General features: G+C 53.2%; 1 protein-coding gene across 12 annotated transcripts in view, besides 2 other annotated features; it reads right to left on the bottom strand.

The window, feature by feature from the left end:
* Positions 34 to 83: an enhancer, noted in NCBI's record as "active region_14139". NCBI's record gives its function as "activates an Ori minimal core promoter by ATAC-STARR-seq in GM12878 lymphoblastoid cells {active_cell/tissue: GM12878}" and the evidence as "EXISTENCE:reporter gene assay evidence [ECO:0000049][PMID:35858748]".
* Positions 1,253 to 14,196, bottom strand: part of ZSWIM4 (zinc finger SWIM-type containing 4) — a 36,812-nt gene continuing 23,868 nt past the window's right edge. For 8 of the 12 annotated variants that reach the window (XM_017027153.2, NM_001367834.3, XM_017027155.2 and 5 more), the window contains 5 exons: positions 14,015 to 14,150; positions 10,007 to 10,161; positions 7,794 to 7,957; positions 4,781 to 4,862; positions 1,253 to 3,316 (listed from right to left, as the gene is read on the bottom strand). In XM_017027153.2, coding sequence (XP_016882642.1) covers positions 2,457 to 3,316; positions 4,781 to 4,862; positions 7,794 to 7,957; positions 10,007 to 10,161; positions 14,015 to 14,150 — 1,397 coding nt within the window. In that variant the 3' untranslated portion in view covers positions 1,253 to 2,456. Of the gene's footprint in view, positions 3,317 to 4,780; positions 4,863 to 7,793; positions 7,958 to 10,006; positions 10,162 to 14,014; positions 14,151 to 14,196 lie in introns of those variants that run through there. The other 4 variants (NM_023072.3, XM_047439236.1, XM_017027157.2 and 1 more) reach the window with 4 other exon arrangements.
* Positions 7,027 to 7,723: an enhancer, noted in NCBI's record as "H3K4me1 hESC enhancer chr19:13936598-13937294 (GRCh37/hg19 assembly coordinates)". NCBI's record gives its function as "activates a minimal SCP1, AML or CMV promoter by ChIP-STARR-seq in naive H9 embryonic stem cells {active_cell/tissue: H9 hESC(naive)}" and the evidence as "EXISTENCE:reporter gene assay evidence [ECO:0000049][PMID:30033119]".

Raw genomic sequence — 14,196 nt, 5'->3', positions numbered from 1 at the left:
CCATCCCTCACTCTATTTGACGACTGGGAGCCTCTTCAGTGGCGCAAGATCCCAGACACGCCCTGGCCACGTCCCCTGGCGAGTGTCCACGCACAGACCACCCCCACTCCGTTTTTCTTCTCTTGGCCAGAGCCCCGCCCACCGAGGTCGAGTCTAAACCCGGGGTTCCCGCTTTTGATCGGGGTGTCTTCCCCATCCAGCTGCACCAACACCTGCCACAGCCTCCCATGCTCAGCAATTTGGAGACAAGGACCCCCAACATTGGTGTCTGGAGCCAGGGCGCCCCCCACCCCCATCTTGGCCCTTCCTAGGGGCTCAAGGACCCTGCAGTCAGGGGTGGGCAGGGGTCAGTGGCCCCAACCAGGTCCTAAATCAAACGTCCTAGCTAGGTGCCCTTCCCCCCTGCCCCCCACCCACGGAGTCTCGCTCTGTCGCCCAGGCTGGAGTGCAGTGGGGCGATCTCGGCTCACTGCAAGCTCCACCTCCAGGGTTCACGCCATTCTCCTGCCTCAGCCTCCCTAGTAGCTGGGACTACAGGCGCCCGTCACCACGCCTGGCTAATTTTTTGTTATATCTTTAGTAGAGACGGGGTTTTACCGTGTTAGTCAGGATGGTCTCAATCTCCTGACCTCGTGATCCGCCCGCCTCGGCCTCCCAAAGTGCTGGGATTACAGACGTGAGCCACCGCGCCCGGCCGCTGGGTGCCCTTTCTTTCCACTTTGCAACCTCAGTTTTCTCATCTGTAAAATGGAAAAGATAATCCTACCAACTCATAGGGCTGTGGTGACGATTAAATGACAGCGGTAACGCATTCAGCCCTGTGTTCCCTCATGGTGAGCTGTCCATCTCTGTTTTGAAATATTTACATAAGGCCGGGTGCGGTGGCTCACGCCTGTAATCCCAGCACTTTGGGAGGCTGAGGCGGGCAGACCACCTGAGGTCAGGTGTTCGAGACCAGCCTGGCCAACATGGTGAAACCCCGTCTCTACTAAAAAATACAAAAATTAGCCCGGTGTGGTGGCGCATGCCTGTAATCCCAGCTACTTGGGAGGCTGAGCCAGGAGAATCGCTTGAACCCGGGAGGTGGAGGTTGGAGTGAGCCCAGATCGCGCTACTGCACTCCAGCCTGGGCAACAGAGAAAGACCAAAAAAAAAAAAAGGGAAATATTTACATAATTACCATGGAATGAAGCCAGCAGTCGCTCCCATCCCACCCCTCGCTTGGCGCTGCACCCAGAAATAAGGCCAGACATTTTTTTTTTTTTTTTTTTTTTTTGCGGAGGAAACGAGGTTGAGGGTGTGAGTGGCTCTGGAGATGCACCCCAGTCTCAAAATAAAATTAAAAAGAAAAATTTCTGTTCAATCTTTGAAAAAAAAAAAGGAAAAGGACATGTAATACACCGTTCAATAAATAGAAAAAAAGTTACAAAATGATGTGGTATTTTGTCCTTAATATACAAGAAGGGAAAAGATGTGGGGGTGACTTGGGGGGGTGATGTTCTCCCTTCTCCTCCCTGGGTCAAGGTGGGGGAAAGGAAGGATGGCCAAAGAGAGAGGGCGGCAGGGACTTAGGTGCAGAGAGAAAGGCAGGTAAGTGCCGGGAAAAATGGAAACAGAGTAAGATGAAGGGGCGAAGCAGAAAGACAGGAGGCGAAAGGGTGAAAAAGCCAGAAAAACACCAAGATACAGGTCTCTTTCCTTTCCAGATCGGGGGTGGGGGTCTCCGGCTCTCTCGCGTCTGTGTCCCCCAACCCCAGGTTGGAAGGGGCAGTGTGAGCCTCGCTCAGTTCCTGAGTTGTACGTCCAGTGACTAGCAGGTGAGAAGAGAGGGCAGCGAGGACTTCCCCAACCCTGAGCCCACCCTGGGACCCTAGTGCCCAAGGAAATGGGGGTCCTGGCCGGATAGGATAAGGGGGTGAGGTATGAGGCTGAGGCCTGAGGCCTCTTCAATTCCTTCAGTGGGGGTGAGCCAATGGTCCTGGCTGGGCAGCCACTTTGGAGGTGGCATAATGGGGGGCCCTGAGCAGTAGGGGGTGGGGGAGGACCCTTGGCCACCCAGGGTGGGGTTGGGGGAAAATGTGCTACATTGACTTAGAGGGTCGATTTCTGGAAAGTCCTGCCTCCCAGCCTCCCTCCTGGAGCCCAAGCCAGTCTGGGTAAGGGGAGTTTGCCTATTGCTTTTGGGGTGCCCAAAGTGGGGTCATACCAGCAGCCCAAGCACACACCCCTTCCAGGCTTCTGGGTGGCAGTATGGCTTCTGCTTCTGGAGTCTTGCACACTTGCTCACAGACTCCCAGGCACACACGTGGCAGGATGCTGCTCCCCCTGCCCCCATCTCCAGCCGGGCTCCTTCCCTGACTTAATAATACTGAAATGCCACGTGGGCCTAATTGGAGAGCAAGGGTGGGGGACGCAGGGGCGAGGGGGATCCCCACTCCCACGCACCCCACTGTCCCTCAACCAAAACGCTCCCGCACCAAAAGCATGAGTTTCTTCTTGCCCTTGTAGGTCTGTTTGAGGTTCTCCAAGAACTGTGAGAACTGGAGGTGCCCGTCGGGCGCCAGCAGGAAGGTCTCCCGGGCCTTGCCCAGGAATTCGATGAAATCCCCATAGTGCCGCGGGCTGATGTGCGTGAGGCGCGAGTGGCTGGTGGTGATGTAGGCGGTGACTGCCGCGTCCAGGAGCTGGCAGAGCGGCGCCCGGTCGGCACCCAGTGGCTTGGCGGCCCGGCGTGCCCCTAAGGGGCCCAGACCGGGCGCCGAGAGAGTCCAGCGGCGCAGAATATCGGACAGCATTGGGGCACAGTGGATGCTGCGAATGATGAGGGGGACGATGGCAGAGAGCTCGTGCCGGCCCAGGGAGTGGCTGAGAGAGCAGGCCCAAAGCACGTCGTTGACGGCAGGGTGGCTGTCCTGGTTGAAGGCGATGCTGAGCTGCGCCAGGGCCAGCGTCGCCAGCTTGTAGGCCCGGAGCGGCAGCCCGCGGTGCTCCATATAGCGGGCCACAGTGAAGAGGTGGGCGTGGCCCAGGCCGCCGGCCGCCGCGTCCAGCACGATCTGGTAGGCCGCCTCGAAGGCCGAGTGGTTCTTCTCGCACAGGGTCAGGGCAGGCAAGGCGCAGTTCTGAGGGTCCTTCATCGCGCACTGCAAGGCCAGGGTGCGGGCGCAGGCCCAGAGCTCCTCCCTCCGCGATGTGTCCAGCTGCAGTCGCAGCAGAGTGGCGTGTGTGGTGCCCGTCACTGCCACGATGGTAGCCGCCTCCACTGGTGTGAATAAGGAATACCAGTTCTGCATGATATTCATCAGGGCTTGCGGGCCTGGTGGGAGGTGAGGGAGGGAAATCCGTCAGGAGCGGGGGCAGACACACGTACATGTATGCGTGGGTTAACCATGACACTGCCACCTCCACTTCCACCTCCACACCATGCTGAACAGAAACTTCCTTTCCAAATCATCAGGGCGCACCTGGACTAGGTGGGAATCACGTGTGTAGAAGGCTAAGCTTTGGAGCCTCTTTCTGCAACCCCCTCAACCCCCTGCAGCCACATTAGCCTGGCCAGCCTCTAGGCCTTTGTCCAGCTCCATGCTGGCCAGCCATTCCCTCCCGGCCAAGCCCTGAGCACAGGCTGGAATCGGAGAAGAGTCTCTGAAGAGTCTCTACTTCTCTTTCCTTTTTTTTTTTTGAGATGGAGTCTCGCTCTGTTGCCCAGGCTGGAGGGCAGTGGCACCATCTCGGCTCACTGCAAGCTCCGCCTCCTGGGTTCACGCCATTCTCCTGCCTCAGCCTCCTGAGTAGCTGGGACTACAGGGGCCCACCACCACGCCCAGCTAGTTTTTTTGTATTTTTAGTAGAGACGGGGTTTCACCGTATTAGCCAGGATGGTCTCAATCTCCTGACCTTGTGATCTGCCCATTTTGAGATGGAGTCTTGCTCTGTCACCCAGGCTGGAGTGCGGTAGTGAGTTCTCGGCTCACTGCAACCTCTGTCTCCCAGGTTCCAGCAATTCTCCTGCCTCAGCCTCCCGAGTAGCTGGAATTACAGGCACCTGCCACCACATCTGGCTAATTTTTGTATTTTTAGTAGAGATGGGGTTTTGCCATGTTGGCCAGGCTGGTCTCGAACTCCTGACCTCAAGTGATCCACATGCCTTGGCCTCCCAAAGTGCTAGGATTACAGGTGTGAGCCACTGCGCCTGGCCCTCTTTCTTTTTGTTAAACAATTTTTTAGAGACAGGGTCTCACCCTGCCACTCAGGCTGGAGTGCAGTGGCACAATCACAGCTCACTGCAACCTCAATCTCCTGGGCTCAAGTGATTTTCCCACCTCAGCCCTCCGGATAGGACTACAGGTGTGTGCCACCATGCCTGGCTTGCTTCTCTCTCTCTCTCTCTCTTTTTTTTTTCCCAGAGGAGGTTTTCCTCTGTTGCCCAGGCTGGAGTGCAGTGGTATGATCATGGCTAACTGTAGCGTTGACCTCCTGGGCTCAAGCAATCTATCCTCCTGCTTCAGCCTCCCAAGCAGCTGGAACTACAGGCACTTGCCACCACGCCCAGCTAATTTTTAATTTTTTGTAGAGATGGGGTCTCACTATGTTACCCAGGCTGCTCTTGAACTCCTGGGCTCAAGTGATCCTCCCGCTTTGGCCTCCCAAAGTGCTGGGATTACAGGTGTGAGCCACCGCACCCCGCCACTTCTCTCTTTCTTGTCTGCCTGGTTCTCTCAGTGCGCTCTGCAGAACCAGAACAGCGAAGTGGGTGGCAGGTCCCCTTAGGGGCTCTCACCAATCTCTGTGGCACAGCTGACCAGCCAGCGCACCATCTCCCTCCGCCGCCAGGTCATTACGTTCAGAGTCATCCGCATCACCTGCAAGGTAGGGGTGGGGAGAAGGGGGTTAGCCTGAGTCTTGGGCTGGCCTATGGAGGGGCGTTGGGAGATGGAGGACCCCAGAAACACTTGGAGGTTAAAGCTGATCCAATGAACCCGGGTAAGTGATCTCAACTTTCTGGGCCTCAATTACCTAGAAAATGGAGATAAAATAGTATCTGTCTCATAGGATTGTTGTTTTTTCTTTTTTGTTGTTGTTTTGTTTTGTTTTTTTTTGAGATGGAATCTTGCTCTGTCACCCAGAATGGCATGCAGTGGTGCGATCTTGGCTCACTACAACCTCCGCCTCCCGAGTTCAAGCATTCTCCTGCCTCAGGCTCCCAAGTAGCTGGGATTACAGGTGCCCGCCACCATGCTCAGCTAATTTTTGTATTTTTAGTAGAGATGGGGTTTCACTATGTTGGCCAGGCTGGTCTCGAACTCCTGACCTCAAGTGATCCGCCCGCCTCAGCCTCTCAAAGTGCTGGGATTATAGGCGTGAGCCACTGCACCCAGCCTGATTGTTGTGAGAAGTAAACAAAATTGCGTAGGTGAAGCTTTCTGCAAGGTGCTTATTGCTTGAAAATGCTCTCAGGTAATGTCAGCTCTTAATATCACTGCTGTTGTTGCTGTTCTTCTGAAGTGAGTCCTCACAGATCCTACCCCAGATCCCACCTCATAGATCCTATGCCGGAACAAACCAACCTGTCCCTTCGCTCCTGAAACCTCCATGCTTCCTGTTGGCTCCTCTCTCTTGCCTCTAAGTACCTGCTGTATAAGCCCCACCTTCACTAGGTCCCACCACCAATCAGCAGCTCACGTGTTTGCCTCTCCCCTGAGGCCCCATCCACAGGTCCTGTCCTGCAGACCCTGCCTTCTGTAAGCTCCTACCTCTTGAGTAGCCTCTGAAAGCTCCTTGTCTTGCTCCCCACACTACAACGGCTCCAATCAGGAGGCTGTCCAGGGCTGATTCTGCACCCTGCTGGCCCTTGTTTGTTCTAGCTGGGAAGGTCCCCAGTTTCTTTTTTTTTCTTTTCTTTTTTTTTTTTTTTTTTTGAGGGTCTCACTCTGTCGCCGGGGCTGAAGTGCAGTTGTGGTCTCTTGGCTCACTGTAACCTACACCTCCTGGGTTCATGTGATTCTCCTGCCTCAGCCTCCCGAGCAGCTGGGACTACACGCGTCCACCACCATGCATGGCTGATTTTTGGGAGAGACGGGTTTTTGCTGTGTTGGCCAGGCTGGTCTTGAACTCCTGGCCTCAAGCGATCCGCATCGGCCTCCCAAAGTGCTGGGATTACAGGTGTGAACCACAGGGCCTGGCCCCAACTTCTTTTTTCTTTTCTATTTTTTTCTTTTAGAGTTGGGGTCTTCTTGCTCTGTTACCTGGAGTACAGTGGCGCGATCATAGCTCACTGCTGCAGCCTCAAACTCCTGGCCTCAAGCGATCCTCTCGCCTCAGCCTCCTGAGGAGCTGGGACTACAGGGGTGCACCATCACACCTGGCTAATTTTTAAAGTTTTTTGTAGAGATGGGGGTCTCACTATGTTGTCCAGGCCAATCTCAAACTCCTGGCCCCAAGCAATCCTCCCACCTTGGCCTCCCAAAATGCTGGAATTACAGGTGTGAGGCACTGTGCCCGGCCCTATTCCTTATCTTCTTAGTGAACTTCTGCCACCCTTTGAGGCCCCGCCCCTTACCTGTCTATCCTGCAGACCCCACCCTCCTCCAGGTCCCATGGCACTCACACCCTACCAATGACACCTTTCCAGCAAGCTGCACCCAAGATTTGGCCTTGCAGGACCACCCTTTGTTCAGCCCCTGGGGATGACCCAGACACTCAGTTGCAGGCCCTGCATACAGGACTTTTTTTTTTCTTCCCCAAGACGGAGTCTTGCTCCGTCCTTCAGGCTGGAATGCAGTGGTGTGATTTCGGCTCACTGCAACCTCTCCCTCCTGGGTTCAAGCGATTCTCTTGCCTCAACCTCCCGAGTAGCTGGGATTACAGGCGCGTGCCACCACGCTTGGCTAATTTTTGTATTTTTAGTAGAGACGGAGTTTCATCATGTTGGCCAGGCTGGTCTCGAACTCCTGGCCTCGTGATCTGCCCCCCTCGGCCTCCCAAAGTGTGGGATTACAGATGTGAGCCACCACACCCGGGCTCATACAGGGCTTTCAACCACAGACCCCACCCCTAGAGTTGGCATCTCATCTTCAAGACCTTCCGCCAGGCCAGCCCTTCAGTGGTGAATCCCTCTCCTTAGGCGGCAATCCTCTTCAGGCCCTGCCCCCAAGGAAGCTCTTTATTGCTAGGCTCTGCCTCACCCTCAGCTTCAAACTCACCCACCCATGATCCTTAACCAATAGCACATCACTCCCAGGCCCCACCCCCAGGCTCCGCTTGCGATCCATCTGCTGGCTTGCAGGCCCTGCCTCTCCGCTCCAGTGACAACTCTCCCCTAGACCTCAGTCTCCTCCATAGACGGATTCTATTAATAATTCATAGGCTTCATCCCTACTGGGAACCCCATTCCCACACTCCCATGACTTACAGACCTTGGCCTTCTGTGGCCCCGCCCCTAAAGGTGAGGTTCACACTCAGGCCCCACCTGCAGAGGTGTGGCCCAAGTGAAGACCCCATCCCCAGAGACACGATTCATCCAGTCCCCATTCCCAGGGGAGTGGCTCACTCATGCCACGCCCCCAAGGAAGTGGCCCACACTCAGGCCACGCCCCCAGAGGTGTGTCTCACTCACAGTCCCCGCCCCAAGAGTGGTTCTCGCTCAGTCCCCAGCCACAGAGGAATAGCTCACGCAAATGCCGGGCCCCCAGCGAAGTGGCTCACACTCAGCCCATGCCCCGGGAGGCGCAGCTCACAGTCAGTCCTGGCCCCGAGCCACCATCGCCCTCCCGCATCCACCTGGCAGCCCTCACCTGCAGCCCCAGCTCCAGTGCGATGCCCAGCAGCGTGGTGTCTGGTGGGGCGCTGACCGGGGTGGCTGTCTTGCAGGCGTCCTGCGCCAGCTTAAAGAGCAGGGCCGGAGAGTGGATGTTCTGCTGGATGGAGCCCAGTACCGTGTGCAGCCACTTGGGGTCTCCTGGGTGAAGGGCGGGACAGAGGACACCATCGGATACACCTCAGCACCAGCCTCTGACCACCACCCGACCTGTTCACACAGATCCTTCCACCCAGGGGCACATGTGTGAGTGTGGAGGGATGTGTACTGGGCCATGGTTCTGTGAAGATTCAGACCTCAGTGCCCCTAGCCCTTGCCAATTATCTCCTCTCTGGCCCTTTCCTGTTACAGAAAGCCACCTAGGGGCCGGGCGCAGTGGCTCACACCTGTAATCCCAGCACTTTGGGAGGCTGAGGTGGGTGGATCACGAGGTCAAGAGTTTGAGACCAGCCTGGCCAACATGGCGAAACCCCATCTACAAAAATTAGCTGGGCATGGTGGCGGGTGCCTGTAATCCCAGCTACTTGGGAGGATGAGGCACGAGAATCGCTTGAACCCGGGAGGCAGAGGTTGCAGTCAGCTGAGATGGCACCACTGCACTCCAGCCTAGATGATAGAGTAATATCCATCTCAAAAAAAAAAAAAAGAAAAGAAAAGCCACCTAGGGATCCTATGGACCTCTCCCTCATCTCAAGGGCATTGGTTGCACACCCAGAATGCCAGGGTTCAAATCCTGGTCCTGCCACCCACTAGCTGTGTGACCCTGAGCAAGTCACTTCACCTCTCTGTGCCCTGGCTGCCCCATCTGTAAAATGGGTAACACTCAGGCAATGGAACCCACCTCACAGGGTGGTGGTGGGCCCATACTTGGCAAGGCCTTAACATGGCAAGGAGCTGCTCAAATGTTAGCTTTTATTATTATTATTATTATTATTATTATTATTATTATTATTATTTTGAGATGGAGTTTTGTTCTTGTTGTCCAGGCTGGAGTGCAACGGTGCAGTCTCGGCTCACTGCAACCTTTGCCTCCCGGGTTCAAGTGATTCTCCTGCCTCAGCCTCCCAAGTAGCTGGGATTACAGGTGCCGGTCACCACGCCCAGCTAATTTTCATATTTTTAGTAGACACAGAGTTTCACCATGTTGGCCAGGCTGGTCTCGAACTCCTGACCTCAGGTGATCCCCCGGCCTCGGCCTCCCAAATCGCTGGGATTACAGGCGTGCACCACTGTGCCTGGCTAATTTTTGCATTTTTAGTAGAGATGGGGTTTCACCATATTGGCCAGGCTGGTCTTGAAGAACTTCTGGCCTCAAGTGATTTGCTGGTCCCGAACTCCTGGCCTCAAGTGATTTGCCCGCCTCAGCCTCCCAAAGTGCTGGGATTACAGGCATGAGCTACCGTGCCCAGCCAATAATTAGGTTTAGATGAGGTCATGAAGTTCAGGTACTCATGAGAGGGTTAGTGACCTTAGAAGAAGATACACTGGAGAAATTTAACTTCTCCTCTCTGTCTCTCCTCTCTCCCTCTTCTCTTTCTTCTCTCTCTCCTCTCTGGCACCTGACTCCTCTCTCTCCCTCTCTCTCTATCCCCCCCTACTATCTCTCCTTTCTCCCTCTCTCTCTCTCCCAGCCTCCTCTCTCTCACTTTCCTCTCTACTCCCCACTTCACTCCCCCCAACTCTCAACAAAGCAAGAAGGTGGCCGTCTGTAAGCTGAGAAGAGAGCCCTCACCAGGAGCTAGCCATACTGACATAGTGATCTTAGACTTCTAGCCTACAGAAATGTGAGAAAATAAATTTTTGTTGTTGAAGTCACGCAGTCTCTGGTGTTTTGTTACAGCAGCCTGAGCTAAGACACCAGGTACCTGCAAGGCTCCACCTCATCTTCAGGTCTCTGCTTAAATGTTCAACTGTTTTATTCCACTCCATGGCACCTGTTACCGTCTCATTTACTGCATCACTCTCTTCTCCCCACTAGAATGTCATTCCACAGGGCAGGGGATCTGGGACAGTTTTGTCACCTGCTACATCCCCAGCACCTGAGACAGTGTCCGGTACATATAGGAGGTGCTCAAAGAATGCAGGGGGAAGTTTGTGAAAGGATAAGAGGAGGCAGGAAAGTTAAGAGGGAAGGAAGAAGGAGATGACAGAGGAGGAAGACAAAGGAATCGGGACAGCTGCCAGCCTCACCCTTGGCGGCCGTCAACATGGTGGAAGCCAGTTCACACTGGCGGGTCTCCAGGTGGCCAAGGATGAACCAGCGGGGGAAGCGGTTGCTCATGATGGAGTCCAGCGGGCTGGGATGAGGTTCTCCAGCAGGAAATGCTGTCTCCAGTATGGGCAGCCTGGGTAAGGGGAGAAGTGAGCCATGGTGAGGAGGGGCTGCTGTCCCCATTCTCTCTAGGAGACAGAGAAGCCTCCTGGCCCAGCCTCCCCACTTCAGCCAGCAGAGCCCTGAGAGCCCAAGATGATGGAAGATGTGTGTGCAAGATGTTCACTGCAGTGTTGTTTATAAATTGATACATTTACTTATTTTAGAGACAGGGTCTCACTCTGTTGTCACCCAGGCTGGAGTCCTGTGGGACAATCATAGCTCACTGAAGCCTCAAACTTCTCGGCTCAAGTAATCCTCCCACTTCAGCCTCCTGAGTAGCTGGGACTACAGGCACGTGCCACCATACCTGGCTTTTTTCTTTCTTTTTTTTTTTTTTGAGACGGAGTTTCACTCTTTTTGCCCAGGCTGGCGTGCAATGGCGCAATCTCGGCTCACTGCAACCTCTGCCTCCTGGGTTCAAACGATTCTCTTGCCTCAGCCTCCCGAGTAGCTGGGATTACAGGCGTGTACTACCACACCTGGCTAATTTTGTATTTTTAGTAGAGACGGGTTTTCTCCATGTTGGTCAGGCCGGTCTCAAACTCCTGACCTTAGGTGATCCGCCCTCCTCGGCCTCCCAAAGTACTGGGATTATAGGCGTGAACCATGGCTCCTGGCCCTAATTTTTGTATTTTTAGTAGACATGGGGTTGCATCATGTTGGCCAGGCTAGTCTTGAACTCCTGTCCTCAAGTGATCCGCCCGTCTTGGCCTCCCAAAGTGCTGGGATTACAGACATGAGCCACCATGCCTGGCCACTGATCTGTATTTCAATGACTTAATTCTGTCATTGTTCTGCCAGAAAAGCCACAGACAATTCACAGATGAATGGACATGGCTGTGTGCCAATAAAACCATTTCTGGACACTGAAATTTGAATTTCATATATTTTTCATGTGTTACAAAATATTCTTTTGATTTTTTTCAACCGTTTATAAATGTAAAAACCATTCTTATCTCATGGGCTGTACGAAAACAGGTGGTTGGCCAAATTAGGCCCCATGGGCTGTATTTTGCTGAGAAAAAAAATTCTTGCATAGAAAAGTCTGTTGTCTAAATCTTGGCTCTTACAGGCTGTTCTTTCTAAATATTCTGGAAAAACACTCCAAACTGTGTGTGTGTGTGTGTGTGTGTGTGTGTGTGTGTGTGTGTGTATGTGTGTGTGTGTTTGTGTGTTTTAAAGAGATGGGCCAAGGCGAGAGGGTCGCTTGAGGCCAGGAATTTGAGACCAACCTGGGCAATGTAATGAGATCCCATCATTACAAAAAAAATTTTTAAACTAGGCCGGGTGTGGTGGCTCATGCCTGTAATCCCAGCACTTTGGGAGGCTGAGGTGGGTGGATCACGAGGTCAGGAGATTGAGACCATCCCGGCTGACATGGTGAAAACCTGTCTCTACTAAAAATACAAAAAATTAACCAGGCGTGGTGGTGGGTGACTGTAGTCCCAGCTACTTGGGAGGCTGAGGCAGGAGAATCACTTGAACCCGGGAGGTTTGGAGCTTGCAGTGAGCGGAGCTTGCAGTGAGCTGAGATTGTGCCACTGCACTCCAGCCTGGGCGAGAAAGTGAGACTCCCTCTCAAAAAAAAAAAAATTTAAAACTAGCCAGGCATGGTGACAAGTACCTGTAGTCCCAGTTACTTGGTGGGAGGCTTAGGTGGGAGGATCCTTTGAGCCCATGTATATGAGGCTGTGAAGAGCTATGATCCTGCCATTGCATATCCAGCCTGGGCAATGGAGCGAGACTGTCTCTAAAAGGACAAAAAAAAGAGAGAGATGGGGTCTTGCTCTGTTGCCCAGGCTGGCGTGCAGTGGCAATTCATAGGTGGGATCATAGATCACTACAGCCTTGAATTCCTGGGCTCAAGCAATCCTCCCTCCTCAGCCTCCCAAGTAGCTAGGACCATAGATGTGTACCAGGCTGGATCCCAAGTTGTTTATAGGTACCTCTGAAGGATGGTTTCAGAAGGTGTGGAATAGGTTGCACCTTTTTGGGCATGGTTTACTATTGAGTTGGCCTTTTTTTTTTTTTTGGAGACAGAGTCTCGCTCTGTCTCCCAGGCTGGAGTGCAGTGGTGCGATCTGGGCTCATTGCAACCTCCACCTCCCGGGTTTAAGTCATTCTCCTGTCTCAGCCTCCGGAGTAGCTGGGATTACAGGTATGCACCTCCACACCCAGCTAATTTTTGTATTTTTAGTAGAGATAGGTTTTCACTATGTTGGCCAGGCTGGTCTCAAACTCATGACCTCAGGTGATCCGTCCGCCTTGGCCTCCCAAAGTGCTGGGATTACAGGCATGAGCCACCATGCCCGGCCAAGTTGGCTTTCAAATATTCTCCTTCTGTGAATCTGCTGGTGTACGTGATAAATGAAAACCAGGTTATTCATTGCCTTTTTTTTTTTTTTTTGGAAATTGCGTAAATGTCTATCAGCTTCCAAGTGGTTCTTTTATGACGTGTCCTTAGAGTGGAAGGCTACGCAGTGATTCACGTACTGTGTGATAAGACAAATCCTGTAAGATGCAAAGCTCAGTGAGAAAAAGGTGCAAAGAATAGATACAGGATGTACCACTGGTATAAAAGGAGGATCAACGTTCAATTTCCAGATTATGGGTTTGCAGAAACCTCAATTCTTGCAGGATAGACACAAAAGTGATAACCCTGCTTGCATCCGGAGAGATCTGGATAGGCTGAGATAAAACTGCCTAGAAAAGATTTCAGCTTTGTGTATCTTTTCATGTATCATGTGAATATTCTCAAACTCAAAATAATATTACACATTTAGCCAGGTGCAGTGGCTCACGCCTGTAATCCCAGAGCTTTGGAAAGCCAAGGTGGGCGGATCACTTGAGCTCAGAAATTCGAGACCAGCCTGAGCAACATGGTGAAACCCCGTCTCTACAAAAAATACAAAAATTAGCCCAGTGCGGTGGTGCACGCCTGGAGTCCTGGATACTCAGGAGGCTGAGATGGGAGGATCGCTTGAGCCTGGGAGGCAGAGGTTGCACTGAGCAGAGATGGCACCACTTTACTCTGGCCTGGGTGACAGAGCCAGACCCTGTCTCAAAACAAAAAAAACACAAAACAAAAAACACACATTTATACTTAATAATAAAAAGCACGGCTGTGCGAGGTGGCTTATGCCTGTAATCCTAGCACTTTGGGAGGCCAAGGCGGGTGGATCATGAGGTCAGGAGTTCGAGACAACATGGGCAACATGGCGAAATCCTGTCTCTATTAAAAATACAAAAATTACTAACACGGTGAAACCCCGTCTCTACTAAAAATACAAAAAATTAGCCGGGCGTGGTGGCGGGCGCCTGTGGTCCCAGCTACTCAGGAGGCTGAGGCAGGAGAATGGTGTGAACCTGGAAGGCGGAGCTGAGATCGGCCCTGGGAGTGGGCCGAGATCGCGCCACTGCACTCCAGCCTGGGTGACAGAGCAAGACTCCGTCTCAAAAAAAAAAAAAACAAAAAACAAAAATTAGCTGGGCATGGTGGTGCATGCCTGTAATCCTAGCCACTCGGGAGGCTGAGGCAGGAAATTGCTTGAACCCAGGAGGTGGAGGTTGCAGTGAGCTGAGATCGCGCCACTGCACTCCAGCCTGGGTCACAGAGGACTCCAGCTCAAAATAAATAAATAAATAAATAAATAAATAAATAATAATAATGAAAAGCACATGGCATCATCAAATGCCAGGGTGAGAGAGACTGAATTAACTAGGCTGTGAGTTCAGGCTGGATGGGTGGGGCTCTGAGCTACCCCCCATGCCCGCCCCTCTTCCCCCCAGCTCCCCCTGCCACTGCCTTGGCCACCTATCCTCACCTCATAGCTCGCAGCGCGAGGCGATAGGCCAGGTCCGGGTCATGAGGCAGCAGTGCGGTGAACAGGTAGCGGGCACAGGTGTGCATGGGCACGCTCTCCCGGAACAGCACCTCCCCAAAGCCACTGAAGGGACCCCCTGCAGGAACAGCCTGAGCTCAGTCCCCAAGTGTGGGCTCGCCTCT

Source organism: Homo sapiens, chromosome 19 (assembly GCF_000001405.40).
Source record: "Homo sapiens chromosome 19, GRCh38.p14 Primary Assembly".
Taxonomy (NCBI): Eukaryota; Metazoa; Chordata; class Mammalia; order Primates; family Hominidae; genus Homo; species Homo sapiens.
The sequence above is the reverse complement of the archived record's forward strand: the minus strand, read 5'-3'. Positions and strand labels throughout refer to the sequence as shown.